General features: G+C 41.7%; 1 protein-coding gene across 4 annotated transcripts in view; it reads right to left on the reverse strand.

Moving 5' to 3' along the window:
* Nucleotides 1-20785, reverse strand: part of SORT1 (sortilin 1) — an 88344-nt gene that overhangs the window by 38955 nt on the left and 28604 nt on the right. For all 4 annotated transcript variants that reach the window (XM_005271100.3, NM_002959.7, NM_001205228.2 and 1 more), the window contains exons 3-6: nucleotides 18879-18952; nucleotides 6838-6940; nucleotides 5838-6002; nucleotides 2400-2473 (exon numbers count right to left, since the gene is read on the reverse strand). In XM_005271100.3, the coding sequence (XP_005271157.1) occupies nucleotides 2400-2473; nucleotides 5838-6002; nucleotides 6838-6940; nucleotides 18879-18952 (416 nt within the window). The remainder of the gene's footprint in view (nucleotides 1-2399; nucleotides 2474-5837; nucleotides 6003-6837; nucleotides 6941-18878; nucleotides 18953-20785) is intronic.

Genomic DNA, 20785 nt, shown 5'->3' on the forward strand with positions numbered 1-20785 from the left:
CTAGTTTGGAGTGCAGTGGTGCAATCACAGCTCACTGCAGCCTCGAACTCCTCGGCTAAAGTGATCCTCCCATCTCATTCTCTTGAGTAACGAGGACTACAGGTGTGCACCACCATGCTTGGCTTTTTTTTTCATTAATTTTTTGTAGAGATGGGGTCTCACTCTGTTGCCCAGGCTGGTCTTGAATTCCTGGTCTCAAGCAATCCTTCCATCTCAGCCTCCCAAAGTGCTTGGATTAGGGGTATGAGCCACTGCACTTGGCTAAAGATGAGTTTTAATGATTAAAATTTAACAAAACTTAGCCAGGTGTATGCCTGTAGTTCCAGCGACTGGGAAGGCTGAAGTGCGAGGATCACTTGAGCCCAGGAGGCAGAGGCTGCAATGAGCAGAGATCGTGCCACTACATCCCAGCCTGGGTGACAGAGCCAGGCCTTATCTTAAAAAAAGAAAAAAAAATTATTTACACATGACCTACATGTTTTAGTTCCATCAGGAGTGAAACAATTTAACTTAGTTATCTTAAAAATTACTTCCACCTGGTACGGTGGCTCATGCCCTGTAATCCCAGCACTTTTGGGAGGCTGAGGTGGGCGGATCAGGAGGTCAGGAGTTTGAGACCAGCTTGGCCAACATGGTGAAACCCCATTGCTACTAAAAATACAAAAGTTAGCTGGGTGTGGTGGCACATGCCTGTAATCCCAGCTACTCAGGAGGCTGAGGCAGGAGAATCACTTGAACCTGGGAGGTGGAGACTGCAGTGAGCCGAGATTGCACCACAGCACCCCAGCCTGGGCAACAGAGCAAGACTCCGTCTCAAGAAAAAAAAAATTCCTTCCTTCCTGATAAAACTGTATAAGGTACAAATACAATTCATTAGAATACATAAAACGAAAGCAAATGTGGCATGTGTAACAGAGTGGTGCTATAAAAACCTCATTAAAAAAACATTTCTGGGGCTAGGCATGGTAGCCCATACCTATAATCCCAGTACTCTGGGAGGCTGAGGAGGAAGGATTGCTTTAGCACAGGAGTTTGAGACCAGCCTGGGCAACATAGTGAGACCCCCTATCTCTACAAAATAAAAATACAAAAATTAGCTAGGCATGGTGGCACATGCCTGTAGTCCCAGCTACTTGGGAGGCTGAGGCAGAAGGATCACTTAAGTCCAGGAGGTCAAGGCTGTGGTAAGCCATGCCTGTGCCACTGTACTCTAGCCTGGACAAAAGAGCAATACCCTATCTCAAGAACAAGAACATTTCTAGAAAAGGCCTACTTTATTTAAGCAATATATTTAATATTTTAATCAATCTTGGTAGACATATTTCAAATCTGTATTCTACACTTTCCTGATTCCTAGAGTACAGGAAACTCTTGGGATTGTGGGTCATCATCATGAACATCAATTCTATCAAACTATAACACAGTGTTCCCATTAGAAGTTACTAACACAGGTGTACTTTCTTGATCTAGCACTAAATAATTTAATACTGTTTATTCTCTAAGTTTTTGTCTGCTCTTTTAGAGTAATTCCACCTCCTTCCAGCTCTCAGGCTGTAATTCTAATGCTGTTACGTGCTTATTGCAGCAGTTACATATCCTACCTCTGTAACCAATCTGCTATAAACTGGGATTCACAAATTAGCTGAAATTAGTCAAAGGGAAAGGAGAAAGAGGCTCTAAACAACATTCTGAGCCTAATCAGATTTTGGAGGCATGAAGCCTGTTAATTCAGTTCTTGCTTAGCCATCCCCACATTCTCCAAATAAGCCTCCTTTCACAAAAGGAAAAAACTAAAGCCCAGAAAGGTTGAGCCCCTGACTAGCAGCAGAGTGAGGACAGAACAAAGGTGACGAGACTCCCAAGTAAGAGCTCCCTCCACTCCATCCTCTTTAAGCAGGCACCCGGAGGGGCAGGGAATCTCTCCGAGAAAAGTGAATGAGTTGTGGTGCGCAATGTGACTTCAGGAGTCTGGAAGCTCTTTCAGCTTTCTTCCTGATTCCTTGCCATGTTCTACATGACTGAAATGGAACTCTAGACAAGAGGGTAAATCTGGGCATGGAGAAGTATTTAAATCCCTAAATTAAAGCTATATTTTATTGTATTTTAATTGATGTCACCATTCATGGAGAATGAACCCTGGGCAGGCAGCAGCAACTCAGTCACCTGCCTTGTTTTATACTTTATGTTCTAACATTTAAGTGAGACTAAGTCTTCTTTTCCAGCAGAATGAGAAGCTCCTCCAGGTCAAGGCCTGTGTCACACCCCTCTCCAATATCTCTTATGGCACCCTGAAGAGTACTTGGCACACAGTAAGTGCTCAATATTTATTCATGTGATTTTTGGCAGCGCTATCAGGAAGGGTTTAGGGCTCTGCACAGATGGAGTCTTCTGTTACTCACCATTTGGCCAAACATACTGCTTTGTGGATTTCTTCCCATTTTCCCCCAAAATTCTTGGACACCCACAGGCCATTCTGAAAGATTATAAATGACTTATCAAAATTCTAGCTTTATCCTGTGTAGTTGCTTGTATGACCTTTAATATTTCATATCCAATCATTCAGGACAGGAAAAACACATACTGAAGCTCCATCAGAGCTGCCCGAGCTCCACAGACACACACGTAGTTTATCTGGGCCCTTTTGGGGTCTTGGAAGTTCAGAATAACAAATGCGTATGAAGTGCCTATTATGTGCCAGGCACTGTACCAGATGTTGCACTGGGGATACAAAGATGAATAAGACACACTCCCTGCTGAGAGAAGGGGCTCACAGTTTAACAAGGCGCATAGATAAGAAGAAAGTTCAACACTATGCAGAGTTATAAAATATGGTCTAGTATAGAAGTGAGGAGAGGAGGAACATTGCATCAGAGATGGTGTCCTGAAGAAGACAGGTGCACTGAGTTTTAAATGATGAGCAGTGGGACCAAAAGAAGGCAAACAGGGAGATGAGGTGTTGCTGCACAAAGAGAGACTAGTATTAGCAAACGCAAGGAGGTCATAAACCCTGCAGTGTGTGCAGGGAGCTAAAAGCCATCAGGCATTACCTGAGTGCAAATTCCAAGGTAAGCAAATGAGGAACTAACGCTAGGCAGAAAGGTGAGGCCAGCTCACAGAGAGCCTTCCTTCTGTGCCATGGTAAGGACTCCAGGGTTTATTGCATATGAGGTGCTCTCAGGAGGAATGTGTGCTAAGCAGGAGGATGACACAGTCCGTTTCACTTTCTTAGGTGGAGTACTTGGACGTGAATGGGAAAGATGGATTTCAGAGGGTCCAGACTAGAGGCAAGGAAAAGCAGGGAATGACTGCCACATTAGTTCGGTAAGAGCTAATGAGGTCTTGAACACTGGCCATGAGGAACAGGCTCTGCAAGAATTTAGAAGCTAGCATAGTAGAACGGGATGACTTCTCCTGCAGGGCAGGATGAGAGGTAGGGGTGTGTGTGTGTGTGTGTGTGTGTGTGTGTGTGTGTGTGTACGCACGTGCATGCACATGCATGTAAGTTGGTCACTCTAGTTTCCTGGTTGGGGTATAGGATGCATTGTGATATCATTAACTAGTATAAGGATTAAGGGAAGAAGATCAGGTCTGAGAGAAGAGTAGGGAGGAAGCTCAGTTTTAAATTGATTTAAGGTGCTTGTGGAACATCCAGCTAGAGATATTCAGGGGGCAGCAAGACAGGAATATGATGCATTAGGGGAAAGCCAGGGCTAGAGATAAGGATTTGAAAATCTTATACATTATAGGTGGTGGTAGCTAAATGGTAAGAGTGGAAGAGAATGCTCAGTGAAATGAGGAGTAGGCATTTAAGGGTAGGCTGAAAGGAGGTTAAGGAAGGAACTAAAAGGAATAATGTCACAGAAGCCAAACAATTAGAGTTCTCAAAAGGAGGGATTGGCCAATAGTTTGAAATGTAGCAGAGACTTAACAAAATTCTGACTGACAACATTACACCGGCAATGTGAGCTTACTGAGCTCCGCCTCAGTGGAGATGGGACAGAGATGTCCTAGTCTAGCTGAAATTAAATGTAACTTATTTAGGCAGAATTTATGTTCAGTACTCCTGTACTCTCACCCACCATTCTCCTCTAACTTTTTCTCCCCTGGTAATACTCACATCCTAGCATTTCTAATTTACCTAATTCTACTTATAAAGACAAGGCAGAATTTGATACCACTGATTTGCACTTTAGTACAAATTGGTCCCTCTTCTCCATCCCAATTATATGTACTTCAGATTTACCCTTAAATGGAAGAAATTTCAGGTACAGAAGCAGACTGTATCTGTCTCTTCCTGAGGACAGTGCTGTTTTAATAACCCTGAGACACTTGGTAAGGAAGATGCAGTAGTCAAAGGGGAGCTCTATGGGTCTGTTCACTCCTTGCTCCCTTATAGTGCTTTCAGCTTAAGCGGCTGGAGGCCAATTTCCAGGAATTGTTGTTCTAAGATCTGAAGCTTACTCCCCAGCAAGCTAGTTTCCTTCCTCTGGCCTCCACTGCTAGGCTAACTCTGAGGCCGGACACAGTGGCTCACACCTGTAATCCCAGCACTTTGGGAGGCTGAGGCGGGCAGATCACCTGAGGTCAGGAGTTCGAGACCAGCCTGGCCAACATGGTGAAACCCTGTCTCTACTAAAAATACAAAAAAATTAGCTGGGCCTGGGTGCACATGCCTGTAATCTCAGCTACTCTGGAGGCTGAGGCAGGAGAAGCACTTGTACCCGGGAGGCGGAGGTTGCAGTGAGACCAGATTGAGCCATTGCACTCCAGCCTGGGCAAGAAGAGCAAAACTCTGTCTCAAAAAAAAAAAAAAAAAAAAAAACAAAAGCAAAAAAAACATAACTCTGGCCCTCCTGGTGCCCCTCAGCCTCACCTCTGCTCAAAAATCTCCCCACAGAAAGCCCAGAACCCAGACCTCTCTTCCAGTGCCCTTCGTCCTCCTATGTCATCCTTTGCTCAGCCTGACTTGTTCACGGTTGATGATCTTGTTTTGGACCCCAAAACAGTCAGTACAGCAATGACTCTCAAACTTTGGTGCTCAGGCTCAGCTGGGGAGCCTGCTAAAAATATTAGCCACCCCACAACAGTAGTCATTGATTTATTATATCTGGGTTTGGGCAAAGGGATGTGCCTCTTGAACTAGCTCCTCAGGTGTTTCTATCTGATGAGAGAAGGCCATAAAAATGTAAAGTATAATTCTGATTATTATAGTCTAGCAACTCAGCCACTTTGGGCCCTTAACCACAGTAAAGGAGACTGGTCCTCCAGGAAAGGAGAAGCTGAATGTGTTCCTCAGAGAACTTTGAGAAGTGGGAGGGTTAGGGAAACACACTGGTCTCTGGGGAAAGTATAGGAACGTGGTAGGGAGCGCAGGGATTTAAGACTTTGGATATTTAATACATGAGGGTCAAAGACAGAAATCAGTATGTTTTATAAACTGAGGACATAACAAAAAAGAAAAAAATTAGAAAGATGTTGTTTGATCATAGAAAAGGAACAATGACAACATCAGGAGTTTGACAATTTATGCTTGTCCCTTGTAGCACAAGAATGATTAAATTAAACTGTTTTCTAGTTCATTACTCCAATACCATACATTTAGTCACTTAAAAAAATTACAGTGACAACTAGGCATCACACTTACCTGGAATAGATAGCATGTGGAAATCGTGTCCTTTACCAAATAGGAAAAAACGTCAAAAAAATACATACTTCATGCCATAAGGAGACTTGAAAGAAGTCCAATATTAAAAGCATTTCCTAAAGGATCCTTCTAAGACAGTACATTTGAGACTATAAAATGCAAAAGGCAAACCATGTTCCTCAACTGGACTTACTTCAGTGCTGAGAGCTAAAAGATAATCAGAATTCTGAGGGCTATACATCATCTGAGTGAGAGGATGAAAAGGGAGATCTGTTTGCACAAAATTCTTCGCAAAATCTGATGATCTAAAGATTCTTCCTCCACGACTTCCTCCAGACACCTCTGCTGTTAACACCACCTGATAGGAAGAGGAAAGATCTGATTCAGGGTATGATACTATCTATGCAAGCACAGGAGTTCTTACACCATTTTCACCAGACATTAGTTAAGAAATTTTAGTTCTAGAAATAAGAAGAGTTATAAAAACTGATTAGTTGTTCCACTCTACCCCTTGGGTCTTATTCTTATAAAAAAATAACACCCTGAACTGAGCTGGGACATCATATCTGTGGGTTTAAGCCTAGATTAGGCTAACTGAGATTAGTTTTCCAAAAAACTAAAATGTTGTCATAGGTTATATACATTGTAATGTTAAGCAACTGCTGCATAATTATTAAGGGCTTTGGTGCACCTTGGGCGGGGAACAAAAACAAATAAACCTGTGTGCTCAGAGTTCCATTCTTATATGATCGATATTAAATTGTGTTTAAGGCAGGCACAGTGGCTCATGCCTGTAATCCCAGCACTTCAGGGGCTGAGGTGGGTGGATTGCTTGAGCCCAGGAGTTCAAGACCAGCCTGAGCAACATGGCAAAACCCTCTACAAAAAAATACAAAAATTACCCAGGAGTGGTGGCAAGAGCCTGTAGTCCCAGCTACTCAAGTGACTGAGGTGGGAGGATCCCTTGAGCCTGGAAGGTCAAGGCTGCAGCGAGCCGTGACGGTATCACTGCACTCCAGCCTGGGAGACAGAGTGAGACCCTTAAAAAATTGTGTTTAATTTTAAAATATAAATATAGCAATACTAAACTAAAATACATTACTGTGAATCACTGGACCATGCCAATACTAATATCTGACAGCTCTGCATGTGGTATCAAGCACAAGCTTTATGTATACAAGAATGAGTCTCACCTTTCCAGAGTTCTCAGGACCAATAGCCATGCCAAATTCAGTCCGAATAAAGGTGTTATTGATGAGATCTGTAATATCCTTAAAGTTCTTCCCATAATCCTCACTGAGAGGAAGAAAAAAAGGGCAAATTTAGGGTGCAGTGGTCATGGATATTACTGAGTTCCTACTCAGCTTTCATTCTCCCTTTCCACCAATCATGCTGAGAGACTCGGCTCACCCTGAATAGCCACATTCCTAGCTCCAGAGGTGCCCTGGTGAGTCCGAAGAACATTCCACCCGCCCCCCCCCCCACAAACCCACTCACCAGTGATGGGGGTTCAGGAATCGGGGAGTGACTCAGGATGAGCCAATGGGAGATAAAAGGTGGGTGGGAAATTTGGGGTCTTCTAGGAAGCACACTGCCTCCCACTTATGATAGCTACCTGATAAAATGGTCTATATTCCTTCAGACCAGCAGTTCTCAATCAGGGTGCTTTTGTCCCCCAAGAAACATTTGGTAATGTTTGCAGACTTTTTTTTTTTCCTTTGAGACAAGATCACACTCTGTTACCCAGGCTGGAGTGCAGTGATGCAATCTCAGCTCAGTGGTGCAATTCCCAGGCTCAAGTGATTCTCCAGCCTCAGCCTCCCGAGTAGCTGGAATTACAGGTCCGTGTCACCACGCCTGGCTAATTTTTGTATTTTAAGTAGAGACGGGGTTTCACCACATTGCTCAGGCTGGTCTTGACTCCCAAGCTCAAAGTGATCCGCCCGCCTCGGCCTCCCAAAGTGCTGGGATTACAGGCATGAGCCACTGTGCCCGGTCCTACAGACATTTTTGATTATCACAATGAAGGGCTGAGGTGCTACTGGCATTAAGTGGGTAGTGGCCAGCGATGTTGCCAAACATCCTACAAGGCACAGGACAGTCCCACAATAATAAAGAATTACCTGGCCCCAATGTCAAGAGTACTAAGGTTGAGAAACCCCAATGATGCAGTATGTGAACACACAGTAAAGACTGCTATCGTCATTCTGTCACAATGGGAGCACAGAGAAGGTAATTTCAGAATACCGAGAAGCAGAGCCTATGACACTGAATTGAATCGACCCTGAAGCCTGTCATTCCTCTGTACTTAGTTACAGAATCAACTATTCCCTTATTATTCAGGTTAGTTTAAGGTGAGATCTATGCAAAGTGCTCCCAAAGGCTTCTAACTAATCTATTAATCCACAGTAGTTATGAAAAAGCTGTAAATGAAGCTGTAGCAAGTTCTTGAAGTTTTTCCCCATAGAAGTTACCATCCCTAGGCAGAAGTCTGTAAGGCACTCAGTACATGAAATACAGCTAGGAAAAACAAACAAACTTAATCTCAACTCTCAGAGTTTCCAAGCTTTTTCCAAAAGTTCATTCCAACAATATCTTTGAGAAGTATTCGAATCCATGTTTAGATTCTGGAAAATAAAAGCAAAAATTCCATAGCTGTCTAACCCTGACAGGTTTAATACTATGTATAGCTCTCTTACACAATACAAAATGCTAAATCTTAATGTTCATTAAATTTAAGTATCCATCAATGAAGACTGCTGTGCACTGCAAATTTCTGCACACAGATAAATGTAATCTGCAGTGGTCTTCAATGATAGAATATAGTTATGTGTTGCATGAAGATGTTTTGGTTACCAATGGACTGTTTATATGATGGTGAGTCCAGATTATGAAACCATATTGTTACCATGCCTTTTCTATGTTTAAATATACAGATACTTAGTACTGTGTTACAGCTGCCTACAGTATTCAGTACAGTAACATGCTCTACAGGTTTGTTGCCTAGGAACAAGAAGTTATACCATATAGCTGTGGTGTGTAGCAGGCTATACTGTCCAGGTGTGAGTAAGTACACTCTGTGATGTTTGCACAATAATGAAATCACCTAATGATGCACTTCGCAGAATGTATCCCCATCATTAAGCGAAGCTTGAATGTACATGATGTAAATGATGTTACAGGTTTTGGTAGCGGCCTCAACAAATAAAGAATTGCAGAACCATGAGCAGTGTAAGGGGCTGAAGTGAACATCTTGTCCAACTCCCTCATTTCACAGATGAGGAGTTGCAAGGGAAGGCAATTTATCAAAAGTCAACTAGTTAATTAAGGGCAAAATTGAAACTATAGTCCAATTCTCTGAACCTTTAGCCCTAAACTGGAGATAACTTTTAATTATCTGTGAGGATTTTTTCCCTTACAAACTGGGGTCTTCCTCTGTCTTGCTGGGGGCTTATGACCTGGCAGAAGAGATCAGCTAAGAGAAAGTTGGAGACAGAAGGGAAGTATCCATGTGTGTATGTAGAGGTCCCTGATAATATGCTGAAACAAACTACATATGTCTAAGTTGTCTGAATGACTCTATCCTTCCTTAAGTACATACACACACACAGAAAATTCCTAGATAAATGAAATACAATTGGGCGCCACCCAACAGAGTCCTATATTATATTACCCTTTCTTTGGCTTTGCAGTAGATCAGCTCTTATCTTCCTGACAGCTGGCCAAGAGATGTGCATAAACAATTCCCAGCTCTACAGTGCATGTATCATCAACAGCTCTGTAAATCTTCCAAAGGGGTTGAAGCAGCCTGATTAGTACTAGTTTACAAATTGGTCCTCCTTCATGACATCCCCAGAGAATCTCCACAAACCTGTTGGCAAGCCTGCTTGCTTTTTAAGAACTTGGCACAACAAACACATCCCTGCCCTTCAAAAAAAGAAACCAGCATGAGCAAAACAAAAAATCACCTGCTACAGCACTCTGGTACTTTAGTCAGTTAAATAAATGGAGAAAATGAACTAGTATCAACCTGCTGGGACTTAAGTAGGGTTCTAGCAAGGCCACTTTGGGCCCAGGGGTATATTTTTTAACATAATGCTTTATTTAAATGTAGCTTTATTTTCTATCAGCATACATATCATGAAGATATGTATGGTCTCAAACTCCTGGCCTCAAGCAATCTTCCCACCTTGGCCTCCCAAAGCTCTAGAATTAGAGGCGTGATCCTAGCACTTTATTTTCTATCAGCCTATGTCACGAAGAGGAAATTGATGAAGCAACTTTGATAAATCTAATTTTCAAATTCCATATGATAATTAATAGCGTTATGAACAGCCGTCGAATGATAAGTAAACAGTTAAAATGCTGTGAAACCAACTGCTTTAGAAACAAGTCTTTTTGGCCGGGCGTGGTGGCTCATGCCTGTAATCCCAGCACTTTGGGAGGCCAAGGCAGGTGGATCACAAGGTCAGGAGTTCAAGACCAGCCTGGCCAAGATGGTGAAACCCTGTCTCTACTAAAAACACAAAAATTAGCCAGGCATGGTGGCACGCGCCTGAAATCCCTGCTACTCAGGAGGCTGAGGCAGAGAATTGCTTGACCCCGGGAGGCAGAGGTTGCAGTGAGCCGAGATCGTGCCACTGCACTGCAGCCTGGGCGACAGAGTGAGACTCCGTCTTAAAAAAAAAAAAAAAAAGAAACAAGTCTTTTTAATAACAATTCTATGCATCAACACTAATATCCATTTTCTGGTTACCAAAAATAAATGATCATTTTTGCATGTATCCACGGTGTAAACATGCACATGTTTATAACTCAAGAAAATAATGCTAAAATACAAATATATTTGGAATAGAGCTTATTTTAGCTAGGGCTGCTATAAAAGAATATTATAAACTGGGTGGCTTATAAACAGCAGAAATTCATTTCTCACTGTTCTGGAGGCTGAGAAGTCCAAGATGAAGGTGCCAGCAGATGTGCTGTCTGGTGAGGGTCTGCTTCCTGCTTCACAGATTACCCTCTTGTCACTGTAACCGTACATGACAGAAGGGGCAAGGGAGCTCTCGGGGTCTCTCTTATAAGGGGACTAATCCCACTGGTGAAGGTTCTGCCCTTATGACCTAATCACTTACCGAAGGTCCCACCTCCTAATACCATCGCACTAGGGGTTAAAATTTCAACATATGAGTTCAGAGGGAACATAAACATTCAGTGTACGGCATCCTGACACCCCCACCCTGCCCCTCCACTCCATTCCTCCAAACTCATGTCCTTCTCACATGCAAAATACATTCATTACATCCCAGCAGCCTCAAAAGCCTTTTTATTTTATTTTATTTTTTTGAGACAGAGTTCCACTCTTGTTACCCAGGCTGGAGTGCAATGGCATGATCTCGGCTCACTGCAACCTCTGTCTCCCAGGTTCAAGCGGTTCTCCTGCCTCAGCCTCCCAAGTAGCTGGGATTACAGGTATGTGCCACCACACCCAGCTAATTTTTGTATTTTTAGTAGAGACAGGGTTTCTCCATGTTGGCCAGGCTGGTCTCGAACTCCTGACCTCAGGTAATCTTCCCACATCTGCCTCCCAAAGTGCAGGGATTACAGGCATGAGTTACCGCATCTGGCCTAAAGTCTTAACTTGTTCCAGCATCAACTCTAAAGTCTAAAATTGAAAGTGTCATCTAAATATCATCTATATCAGACAAAGGTGAGACTCAAGGTATGATTCATCTTGAAGCAAACTGCTCCTCAGTTGTGTACCTGTGAAACCAAACAAGTTATGCACTTCCAAAATACAATGGTGGGACAGGCACAGTATAGACATTTCCATTCCAAAAAAGGGAAATGGAAAAGACGAAAGGTGACTCCAAATAAGTCTAAAATACAGGCAAACTTCATGAGATATATTTATTTAGTTATTTTTAAAGAGTAGGTCTTAAGGCTGGGCATCCTCCCACCTCGGCCTCCCAAAGGCAACATAGTGAAAACCCATCTCTACAAAGTATACAAAATTTAGTTGAGCATGGTGGTTTCCAGCCTGTAGTCCCAGCCACTTGGGAGGCTGAGGCAGGAGGATCACTTGAGCCCAGGAGCTCAAAGCTACAATGAGCCGTGATCATGACACTGCACTCCAGCCTGGGCAACAGTGTAAGACCCTGTGTCAAAAGTAAATAAATAAGGAGAGGGTCTTGCTCTGCCACCCAGGCTGGGGTGCAATGATGAGATCATAGCTCACTATAGCCTAGAACTCCTGAGCTCAAGCAATTCTTCTGCCTTAGCCTCCCAAGTAGCTAGGACTACAGTCATGTACCACCACACTCAATTTTTTTTTTTTTTTTTTTTTGGTAGAGATGGGTCTCACTATGTTGCCCAGGCTGGTCTCAAAACTCCTGGCCCCAAGCAATCCTTCCACCTCAGCCTCCCAAAGTGCTGGGATTACAAGTATGAGCCACTGCGCCTGGCCTAGATATTAAAGCTTGAAAACAATTCTCTTTGGCTCTATGCTCTGTCCTACAGGTCCAATATTGGGGAGGGGGTCCCTCCTCTTCCCAGACACGCTGGGATTGTGTTCTTGCTCTGCAGCCTTGCCAGAAAGGGGGTAGGCCCACAAGGATCTGGGTGGCCCTTCTCCCATGGCTTTGGGTGATGGTCCCTTCTTTTGAAATTGAGGAGGCAGCCTTGGTGATCCCTGAATGGCCTTGTCTTAAAGAAGATTACACATACGCAACTGAATAGCTCTGTGGTCCTTGAAATCTGAAAGCCTTCCCTCATTGGGTTCAAACTGGCAGTTTTCCTGTTGGGGTGACTGATTGAGTTCTTAGTTTACACCTATGCTAATCTCTTTATCAAATGGTCACTTGGCCACATCCTAATTATTCACATCCTATTATTGCAGTCTGTGCAATTTAGATAGACTGAGAATTTTCCAAATCTTTTAGTACTGCTTTCTTCTTGCTTAATAATTCTGTCTTTAAGTCATTTCTCTTTTCCCACATTTTACTACGAGCAGTCAGGAGGAACCAAGCTGCAACTTCAACATTTTACTTAGATATTGTTTTAGCTAAATATGCAATTTCATTGCTTGCAAGTTCTACTTTCCACAAAACACTAGAACATGAACACAATTCAGCCTAGTTGTCTGCCACTTTATAACAAGGATTGCTTTTTCTCTACTGTCCAACAACAAGTTCCTCATTTCTGCCAGAAACCCATCATAATGGCCTTTGTGGTCCACATTTTTACGAATATTCTACCATGGATTACTTAGGTATTCTCTAAGATGGAATTTTTCTCTACAGCCCTCCTCTTTTCTTTCTGAGCCTTCACCAGAATCATCTTTAAGTTTCATTAACAGCTATGTAGGCTTTTTCAAGCATGCACCTCAAAAACTCTTTCTGCTTCTACCCATTTTCTTTTGTTCATTTTGCCATGACTAAGCCACTATAAATTATAACATAAAAGTAACAAGGATGATGGTAAACTCTTAAAAATATTATTGTTTTGTGGTTTTTACTAATTGAGAAAGCTTATACAATCTTCATTATTCATGGATTCTATATTTGTAAATTTGTTTACCTTCTTAAATTTATTTGTAATCCCCAAATCAGTACTCATGGTCCCTTGCCAGTCATTTATAGACATTCATAGAGCAGCAAAAATGTGAGTCACCCAGTGTACCCATTCCCAGCTGAGGTCAAACAAGGTGATGCTTTGCCTTTGTGTTCAGTTCTAATACTATAAATAAGTGTCCTTTTTACGGTCTACTTAGTTTTTTTCTACTTAGGTTTTTGCAAGTTTATGCTTTTTTTGGGGGGTACTTTTTCTGTTTAAATAGCCTCCAAGAGCAGTGTCAACAAGCTGTTTAGTGTTCCTAAACACAAGAAGACTTTGATGTGCCTCATGGAGGAAATACGAGTATATGAGACAAGCCTTGTTTGGGCAAGAGTTCTAGTGCTATTGGCCATGAATTCAGTGTTAATGAATCAATAATACACATTAAATAAGGTATCTTTAAACAGAAACACACATAAAACAAAGTTATGTATTGATCATTTGATGAAAATGAGTGCTGTGACCAGAAGTTTGCAGAAACCTAACCCTATATGTCCCCCTAGGAGCAATGGTTCACTATTAACTAATTCAATATTCATGACAACTTTACAGAACATAACTATCACTAATAATGACAACCAACTGCACTGAGATTTCCAGGTAAAAGATCAATAGGGAGAATGTAGTTTATTAAAATGTATCAAAATAATCATGGACCTGAAACTACTGCTGGGTAATATTGGCAAGATTTGAATTCATAATAAACTTAATTCCCAATATTTCAGTGTCTTTTTCCCCCACTGTCTGATATTACCTTGTGTTTTTATTTAACTATGTTGTGTTTTATCATTATTGGGAAAGGATACATGTTTTCTGTAGAAATTTTGAAACTACAAGTGGGAAAATAAAGAGAGTAAGATATTGTAAATAAAAAAATCACAGAACTTTTAATCAGAAGGAACATGAATATGTATTTGTGGGTCTTCATCTTACTCTGATTGACAACTTTACGTGTATAGAAGTGAAGTTGTATTAAAGGTAAAATGCCATCATCACATTTTAATATACTTTTTCTTTAAAAAAAAAAAAGCAAGAAAATATATGTTGTAAATGGAATTTATCCCAACCTTGTAACTGAAATATGCAGTCATTGTTAACAATCTACTGCAGTGAAAACTGAACTGAGCATATCATTAAAAAGGTTGTTACACAACATGCCTTGAAGAAGCTGGTTTACTGCACTAGCAGCACTTTGCATTGTATACCTTTAAGTTATCCTTTTAAAAAAATCTCAAGTAACATTCTGAAAAACTTACATTGACTATGTAATATATTTTAATGCAAAACCTCTTAATAGGGAAATTTGAGCAATTCTCAATAGAAACACCAGGAATAAAATAGCCCAGCAGTCTTTGTGATATTAATAATTAGGTATATAACATTGGTGTAGAATAATGCCTACATTTGCTTCACTAAGTACATTATACAATGAAAAGTTGGACTCAAGACATCATAAAACAAAAAGATGGAAAATATCTTTTAGTTGCCAAAAATCAAATTATCATCTTAATTGTAGCTAGTTTATTTCTTTAACTTCATATGTGCAAGTGAGAGACAAACATACTCTATAATCCATTATAAAACTAATATTCCTTATAAGGAAATCAAAATTTATACTATACAAATATGATTCCCTTAAATGGAAAATATGCATATGTGTGTGTATGCATGTACATACACACAAACATATGTATACAGAAACATATGTATACACACATATACATACATACACATACATATAATCTCCCAAATCCTTCAATAATTCTTTTTCATGGCCTAAAGACAGAAGTATACTCCCTCTAATTCTGTATATCAACAGAGACAACTTCCTTCTATTCTTGTGAGACTTCATGCTGTAATACACAGAGCAGGTGGCATGTGATTTGCTGTTTTTTATTTCAAATCCAAATGAACCTTTAACCATATAAGATTTAGTATGCGAAGATGGTCTAACGAATAATATAATCACCAATGCTGTGAAAAACAGAAAAATCTTCAGAGTGGGTTCAATGGGCTTTTATCGGTAATTGGGCAACTTCAGCATACTCAGGACCCATTTTGATCAAACTGCTTCTTTCCCTTTCTCATTTCTGAAACAACAGTTGCCTCTTGGTTGGCATGTTTGACATGGTTGACTTGGTTGGCCAGTCACTTTAAGCCAGGCCAGCCCAGTTGGAAAGGCAACAAGGCATATTTACAGTTTCCGCCTAAACTCTGGAAGTGGGTACAGAGTCAGTTTCCACTTCATGGCAGGGAAGAGATAATTAATATTCAAAGTCAATGTGGTTAAACAAACAAAAAAAGAAACAAAAAACTGCTGGGTAACATGAAAAAAAAGTACCTTGGTAACATTATACTATATCAGAAACAAATAGAATTGCACTCTAGTAAAGTATGTCAGGAAAGCGGGGTTTTTCACAAGACTAGACAAAAACAGGCTGAAAAAAGGCTGAGTCTGATGGTGGTGGTATTTAAACAGTGACATGGCAGTATTGGTTCTTGTTTTGGTTTTGATTGTCTTAAGTTGTTGAGGCATTAGGTATAGAAGATAACTCAACCTAGAGAAAGAGGCATTTAACAAACAGCCTTTAAAACACGTTGACATCCATCAGAGTGGAGGTTTTCCTTTGCTACTGAAGAGTGAACTAGAAATAAACATCCCCTATGACACAAATATGTATGATACTGATCACAGTAGTATTAGTTACAGCGAAAAAAACAGCTACAACCTAACTATCCAATGGAACAATGATTAAGTAAATTATGTCAATCTAAAAAAATGAGGGGTTACCAGCAGAGTGAAGGTATGAGTACCGACCCATCAGCATGGATGTAGGTCATAATGCCAGGTGTTAGTAACATTTGCATGTTGGCAGGGGCTAGGGGGTGCAGTGTGCATTTGTAGAAGACGTGGAGGCATCTGGGGGCAGGCAATCTGCCTGAAGGCTTCAAATTCATTTTAACAACTGGTACAGCAATGCCAGTACCTGCTGGCTACATGCCATCCCTGATCATTGGCATGGCAGCAACTAACAGCACCAAGCTATTACTCCATGCCAGGCACTGCAGAGCATACCTCACAACGGCTCTGAGGTGGGCATTATTATTGTCCTTTTACAGATGACAAAAAAGACTTAGGAGGTTAAATGACTTTCCCAAGTTCATTCTGTTTGCAATGACAGTGCTGTGATTCAATCCTGAGCCTACTTGCCAACAAAGCTTGGCAACATTTTGCTATTCCACATTGCCTCCCAATACTCTACAATTATATGATACAACATCAAAGGGGAAGGTCAAGATAATAAACTGCAAACAAATTAAGATTACACGTGGCTGTATGGTGAACTTTTTTCTTTCCTTTAAAATTTTCAAATGTCCTATAATATGATTATACTGCTTTTATAATGAAACACAGGTTGGTAAGAAAAACTATCATGAGGAGATATTTTATGTTTTTGAGAAAGGGTATTGCTCTGTCACCCAGCCTGGAGTGCAGTGATGTGATCATAGCTACTGCAGCCTCAACCTCCCGGACCCAAGAGATGCTCCTACCTCAGTCTCCCAAGTAGCTGGGACCACAGGTGTGTGACACCATGCCCAGCTAATTTTGTGAGGAGGGAATTTATAATAGCAAACATTCTTAACCACAGGAAAGAGTTACTGAAGCAAAGTTACACATTTTAAAATGCATTTTTCTCTCCCCAAATAGGATGTTTTTCATCTAAAATGGTTCAACTACTGTTCTGATTGAATAAACAAAGTCACCTACTATAGCGCTTTCTAGCACCAAGATTCTAAAATATAGTCAATCCTATATTTAAAAAAATTTAATTAACCATCTAAAAATTATAAAGAAGCCAAGACATTCATTCATTTATTCAATTATTATTTGCTGCCTGCCTACTATATGTTAGGCATTTGGCTAGATCCTGGGGACCCCAGTTAGTCAAGAACCTTGCCTTCATGGAATTTACACTGTAGTTAGATGGCAATTCCTTGTTGGCCTAAAGGTATTTGCTGCCTCTCTGGGACCAACATCAATGTATTGAAGGGCAGAGACCTCTGGCTCCATGCCCAGGAGATGTAGTCAAAGTTCATACCTCACGGGGAAGAGAGGTTAGGCTAATCCATTTCAGAGCTTGAACATGGGTTCACTCCCACTTGGGCCAAGAACAGCAGTCAAATAAAGAACCTTGAGAAAGTACCATTACTCCTGGGAGATACCCTGACCCTAGGGTAGTTTCTATATCATCTGCTGGTATGTCATTACTTCTTTAGGTCTCTAGGGGAAAATGAGACAGACATAAATGATTGAGAAGACACAATCATTCAGCAATCTCTAGGAGTTAGTTGGTCTTGAATCTTACTGCTAAGGAACGGAACCTACTTTTTAACCAAGTCATACCTTTGAGAAGACAACTCTAAAACTTCACCAATGTCACAGTATAGGTTGTGGTTCCAGAACACATGTTACCACCATCATCGCCAGTGTGAACACTACAAAGCACTTTGGTAGGTCCGACCTGAGAGCCTCCTTCTTACCTAAAAATAATCTGCTTAGGCCTCAAAATGCTGTATAAATATTTGCTGGGAAAGTACAATGAAGATTTTCATTTCAGGAATATAAAAAACCATTTTGTACTCACACTAAATAGAAAGACTTTTTAAACCCCATACTACCTTCCCACAAATAAATATCCATATAAATGAACACAAACACACAGCACTATACACTCTTTCTTCATCTTCCTTTATTGTTCTGCCCCTGAGTCAGGTCAAACCAACCTCCTTGGAACCAGGTCCCTTTTCATACTTCTTTCAGTTGCTAATTAGATGCTAAGGCCAGGCATGGTGGCTCACACCTGTAATCCTAGCACTTTGGGAGGCTGAGGTGGGAAGACAGCTTGAGCCCAGGCGCTCGATACCAGACTGGGCAACATGGTGAAACCCTGTCTATCCAAAATACAAAAATTACCCAGGCATGGAGGTACGTGCCTGTAATGCCAGCCACTTGGGAGGCTGAGGTGGGAAGATGGTGGATGGCTTGAGCCTGGGAGGGAGAGGTTGCAATGAGCTGTGTTTGCGCCACTGCTCTCCAGCCTGAGTGACAGAGCTAGACCCTGCTCAAAAAAAAAAAAAGAGTAGACGTTAAAAAGTGTGCTAAGGGCCGGGTGCAGTGGCTCCCGCCTATAATCCCAGCACTTTTGGAGGCAGGTGGATCATTCGAACCCAGGAGCTCAATACAAGCCTAGGCAACATGGGGAAACCCTGTCTCTACAAAAAATACAAAAAATTAGCTGGGCATGGTAGCGTGTGCCTGCAGTCCCAGCTACCTGGGAGGCTGAAGTGGGAGGATGGCTTGAGCCTGGGAGGTGGAGGCTGCAGTGAGCCAAGATGACGCCACTGCACTCCAGCCTGGGTGACAAGAGTGAGACCCTGTCTCAAAAAACAACAACAACAACAACAACAAAAACATGTGCTGAGTGTGACAGTCTGGTGAAAACTTAGGATGGCTAGAAGATCTTTTACATCAACTGTTACGTGCCATCATGTCTAGAAAAGGGAGAATCTATATTCTCAATGTTACTTAGTGAAATGCTCCAACGCGTGTTATTGATCTCACCTTCGATATAGCTTGGACTGTCCAAAAGTCATAATTACCAGTGGTACATGGAAGGTAGTCAAGACTAGAATGACCTGGAGAGAGAAAAAAGCATTCCGTAAATAAAAAAGATATTCCAATCACATGCTGATATGTGTTCGAGATTAAGCCAACACCTAAAAGACTTTTGATATCCCTACTTTGTAGTACTCCCCAAAGTCTAGAAGGATCTAGTTACTAGGGCTGAGAATGATGAGAAAGTCCTCAGCTCATTTTGTTGGGATGATCCCCATTGCCTCCATTGAAGCAGTGAGGCTGACTACTCAAATACACATTAAAATAAAAGAAGGCTTTAACTATTTTGTATCCAAATTATTGTAAGATACTCTCAGGCAAGAACCCTCTTCCCTTTTCTCCTTACAGAGTCTAGAATAGCGTGGGTGTTCTCACAGAGATCACTGTGTCATGTATGTCTGTCTTTTTCTTCTCCTTGCCGTTGGTTCTTCATGAAATTCATTTTTTCAGTACCTTATCTACCAAAAACTATGCATGAGGAAATGATTCTGGATGGATTACTATAAGAGTCTAGGGAGTCTCAGAAAGCCATATGAGAAATCTTGGAGATGGCTGGGCACGGTGGCTCACGCCTGTAATCACAGCACTTTGGGAGGCTGAGGCGGACGGATCACTTGAGGTCAGAAGTTCGAGACTAGCCTGGCTAACATGGTGAAACCCCATCTCTACTTAAAATACAAAAATTAGCCGGGCGTGGTGGTGCTTGCCTGTAGTCCCAGCTTCTTGGGAGGCTGAGGCATGAGAATTGCTTGAACCTGGGAGGTGGACGTTGCTGTGAGCCAAGATTGCACCACTGCTCTCCAGCCTGGGTGACAGAGCAAGACTCTGTCTCAAAAAAAAAAAAAAAAAAAAAAATTCTTGGAGATACCAACTATCTAAGATAAATGGGTAAATCATGGAAATTAGGGTACAACTCAAATTTTAGAAAAAACTGAACTATGCTTAAAGAAATTCTACTGAAAGTTTAAAAATTAATCAAAATAAGAAATTTACAATTTGCTTTTCAGCACCAAGATTTTATTTCTTTAGGCTTCTAATATAACTATCATGTGCCTCAATGCTATGACACATGCATTATGGAATACCAGGGGGCAGGAGATGTTGCCCCTGCTCTTGTTCAAGCAGGATAATAAGACAGCCAGGCAACAAGTCCTGATTTAAGACCAGGGGCCAATGTATCCTCAGCGTGTCCTCCTAGTGGGAGCCCAGCTGTATATCAGGAGGGATAAGGAGCTGACTGATCCTCCTTCCATTCCCCCAATCCTGGCAGTACCTCCTTTGTGGCAGGGGCAGGGACCAACAGATGAACAACCATGAGCCCATGGGCACCACAGTCCCTCAACACACCTGTAGGAAAGGACACAGGAACAATACAATTTGGAGGAAAAGTGCCAGGATGTTTTTAATGGACATTTTCTGTTTCTATATAGGGGTTTCCCCAAGCATTGTGCGCTTCCCTTCTCAGTACAGAGCACTTTCATCTTTCTTCTTGCTCATCTTGATGCTAAGCAGCCACCAAGGACTGAAAAGGTGTCCATCTTCCCACCGTGGAAGAAGGTGGTCAGAAGATGTTCCCGGCCAGGCGCAGTGGCTCATGCCTGTAATCCCAGCACTTTTGGGAGGCTGAGGCGCGTGGATCACCTGAGGTCAGGCGTTCAAGACCAGCCTGGCCAACATGGTGAAACCTCATCTTCACTAAAAATACAAAAAATCAGCTGTGCATGGTGGTGGGTGCCTGTAATCCCAGCTCCTTGGGAGGCTGAGGCAGGAGAATCGCTTGAACCCGGGAGGTGGAGGTTGCAGTGAGCTGAGATCATGCCATCGCACTCCAACTTGGGCAACAAGAGCGAAAC

The sequence above is a fragment of the Homo sapiens genome, chromosome 1, assembly GCF_000001405.40.
Source record: "Homo sapiens chromosome 1, GRCh38.p14 Primary Assembly".
In the NCBI taxonomy this organism is placed as follows: Eukaryota; Metazoa; Chordata; class Mammalia; order Primates; family Hominidae; genus Homo; species Homo sapiens.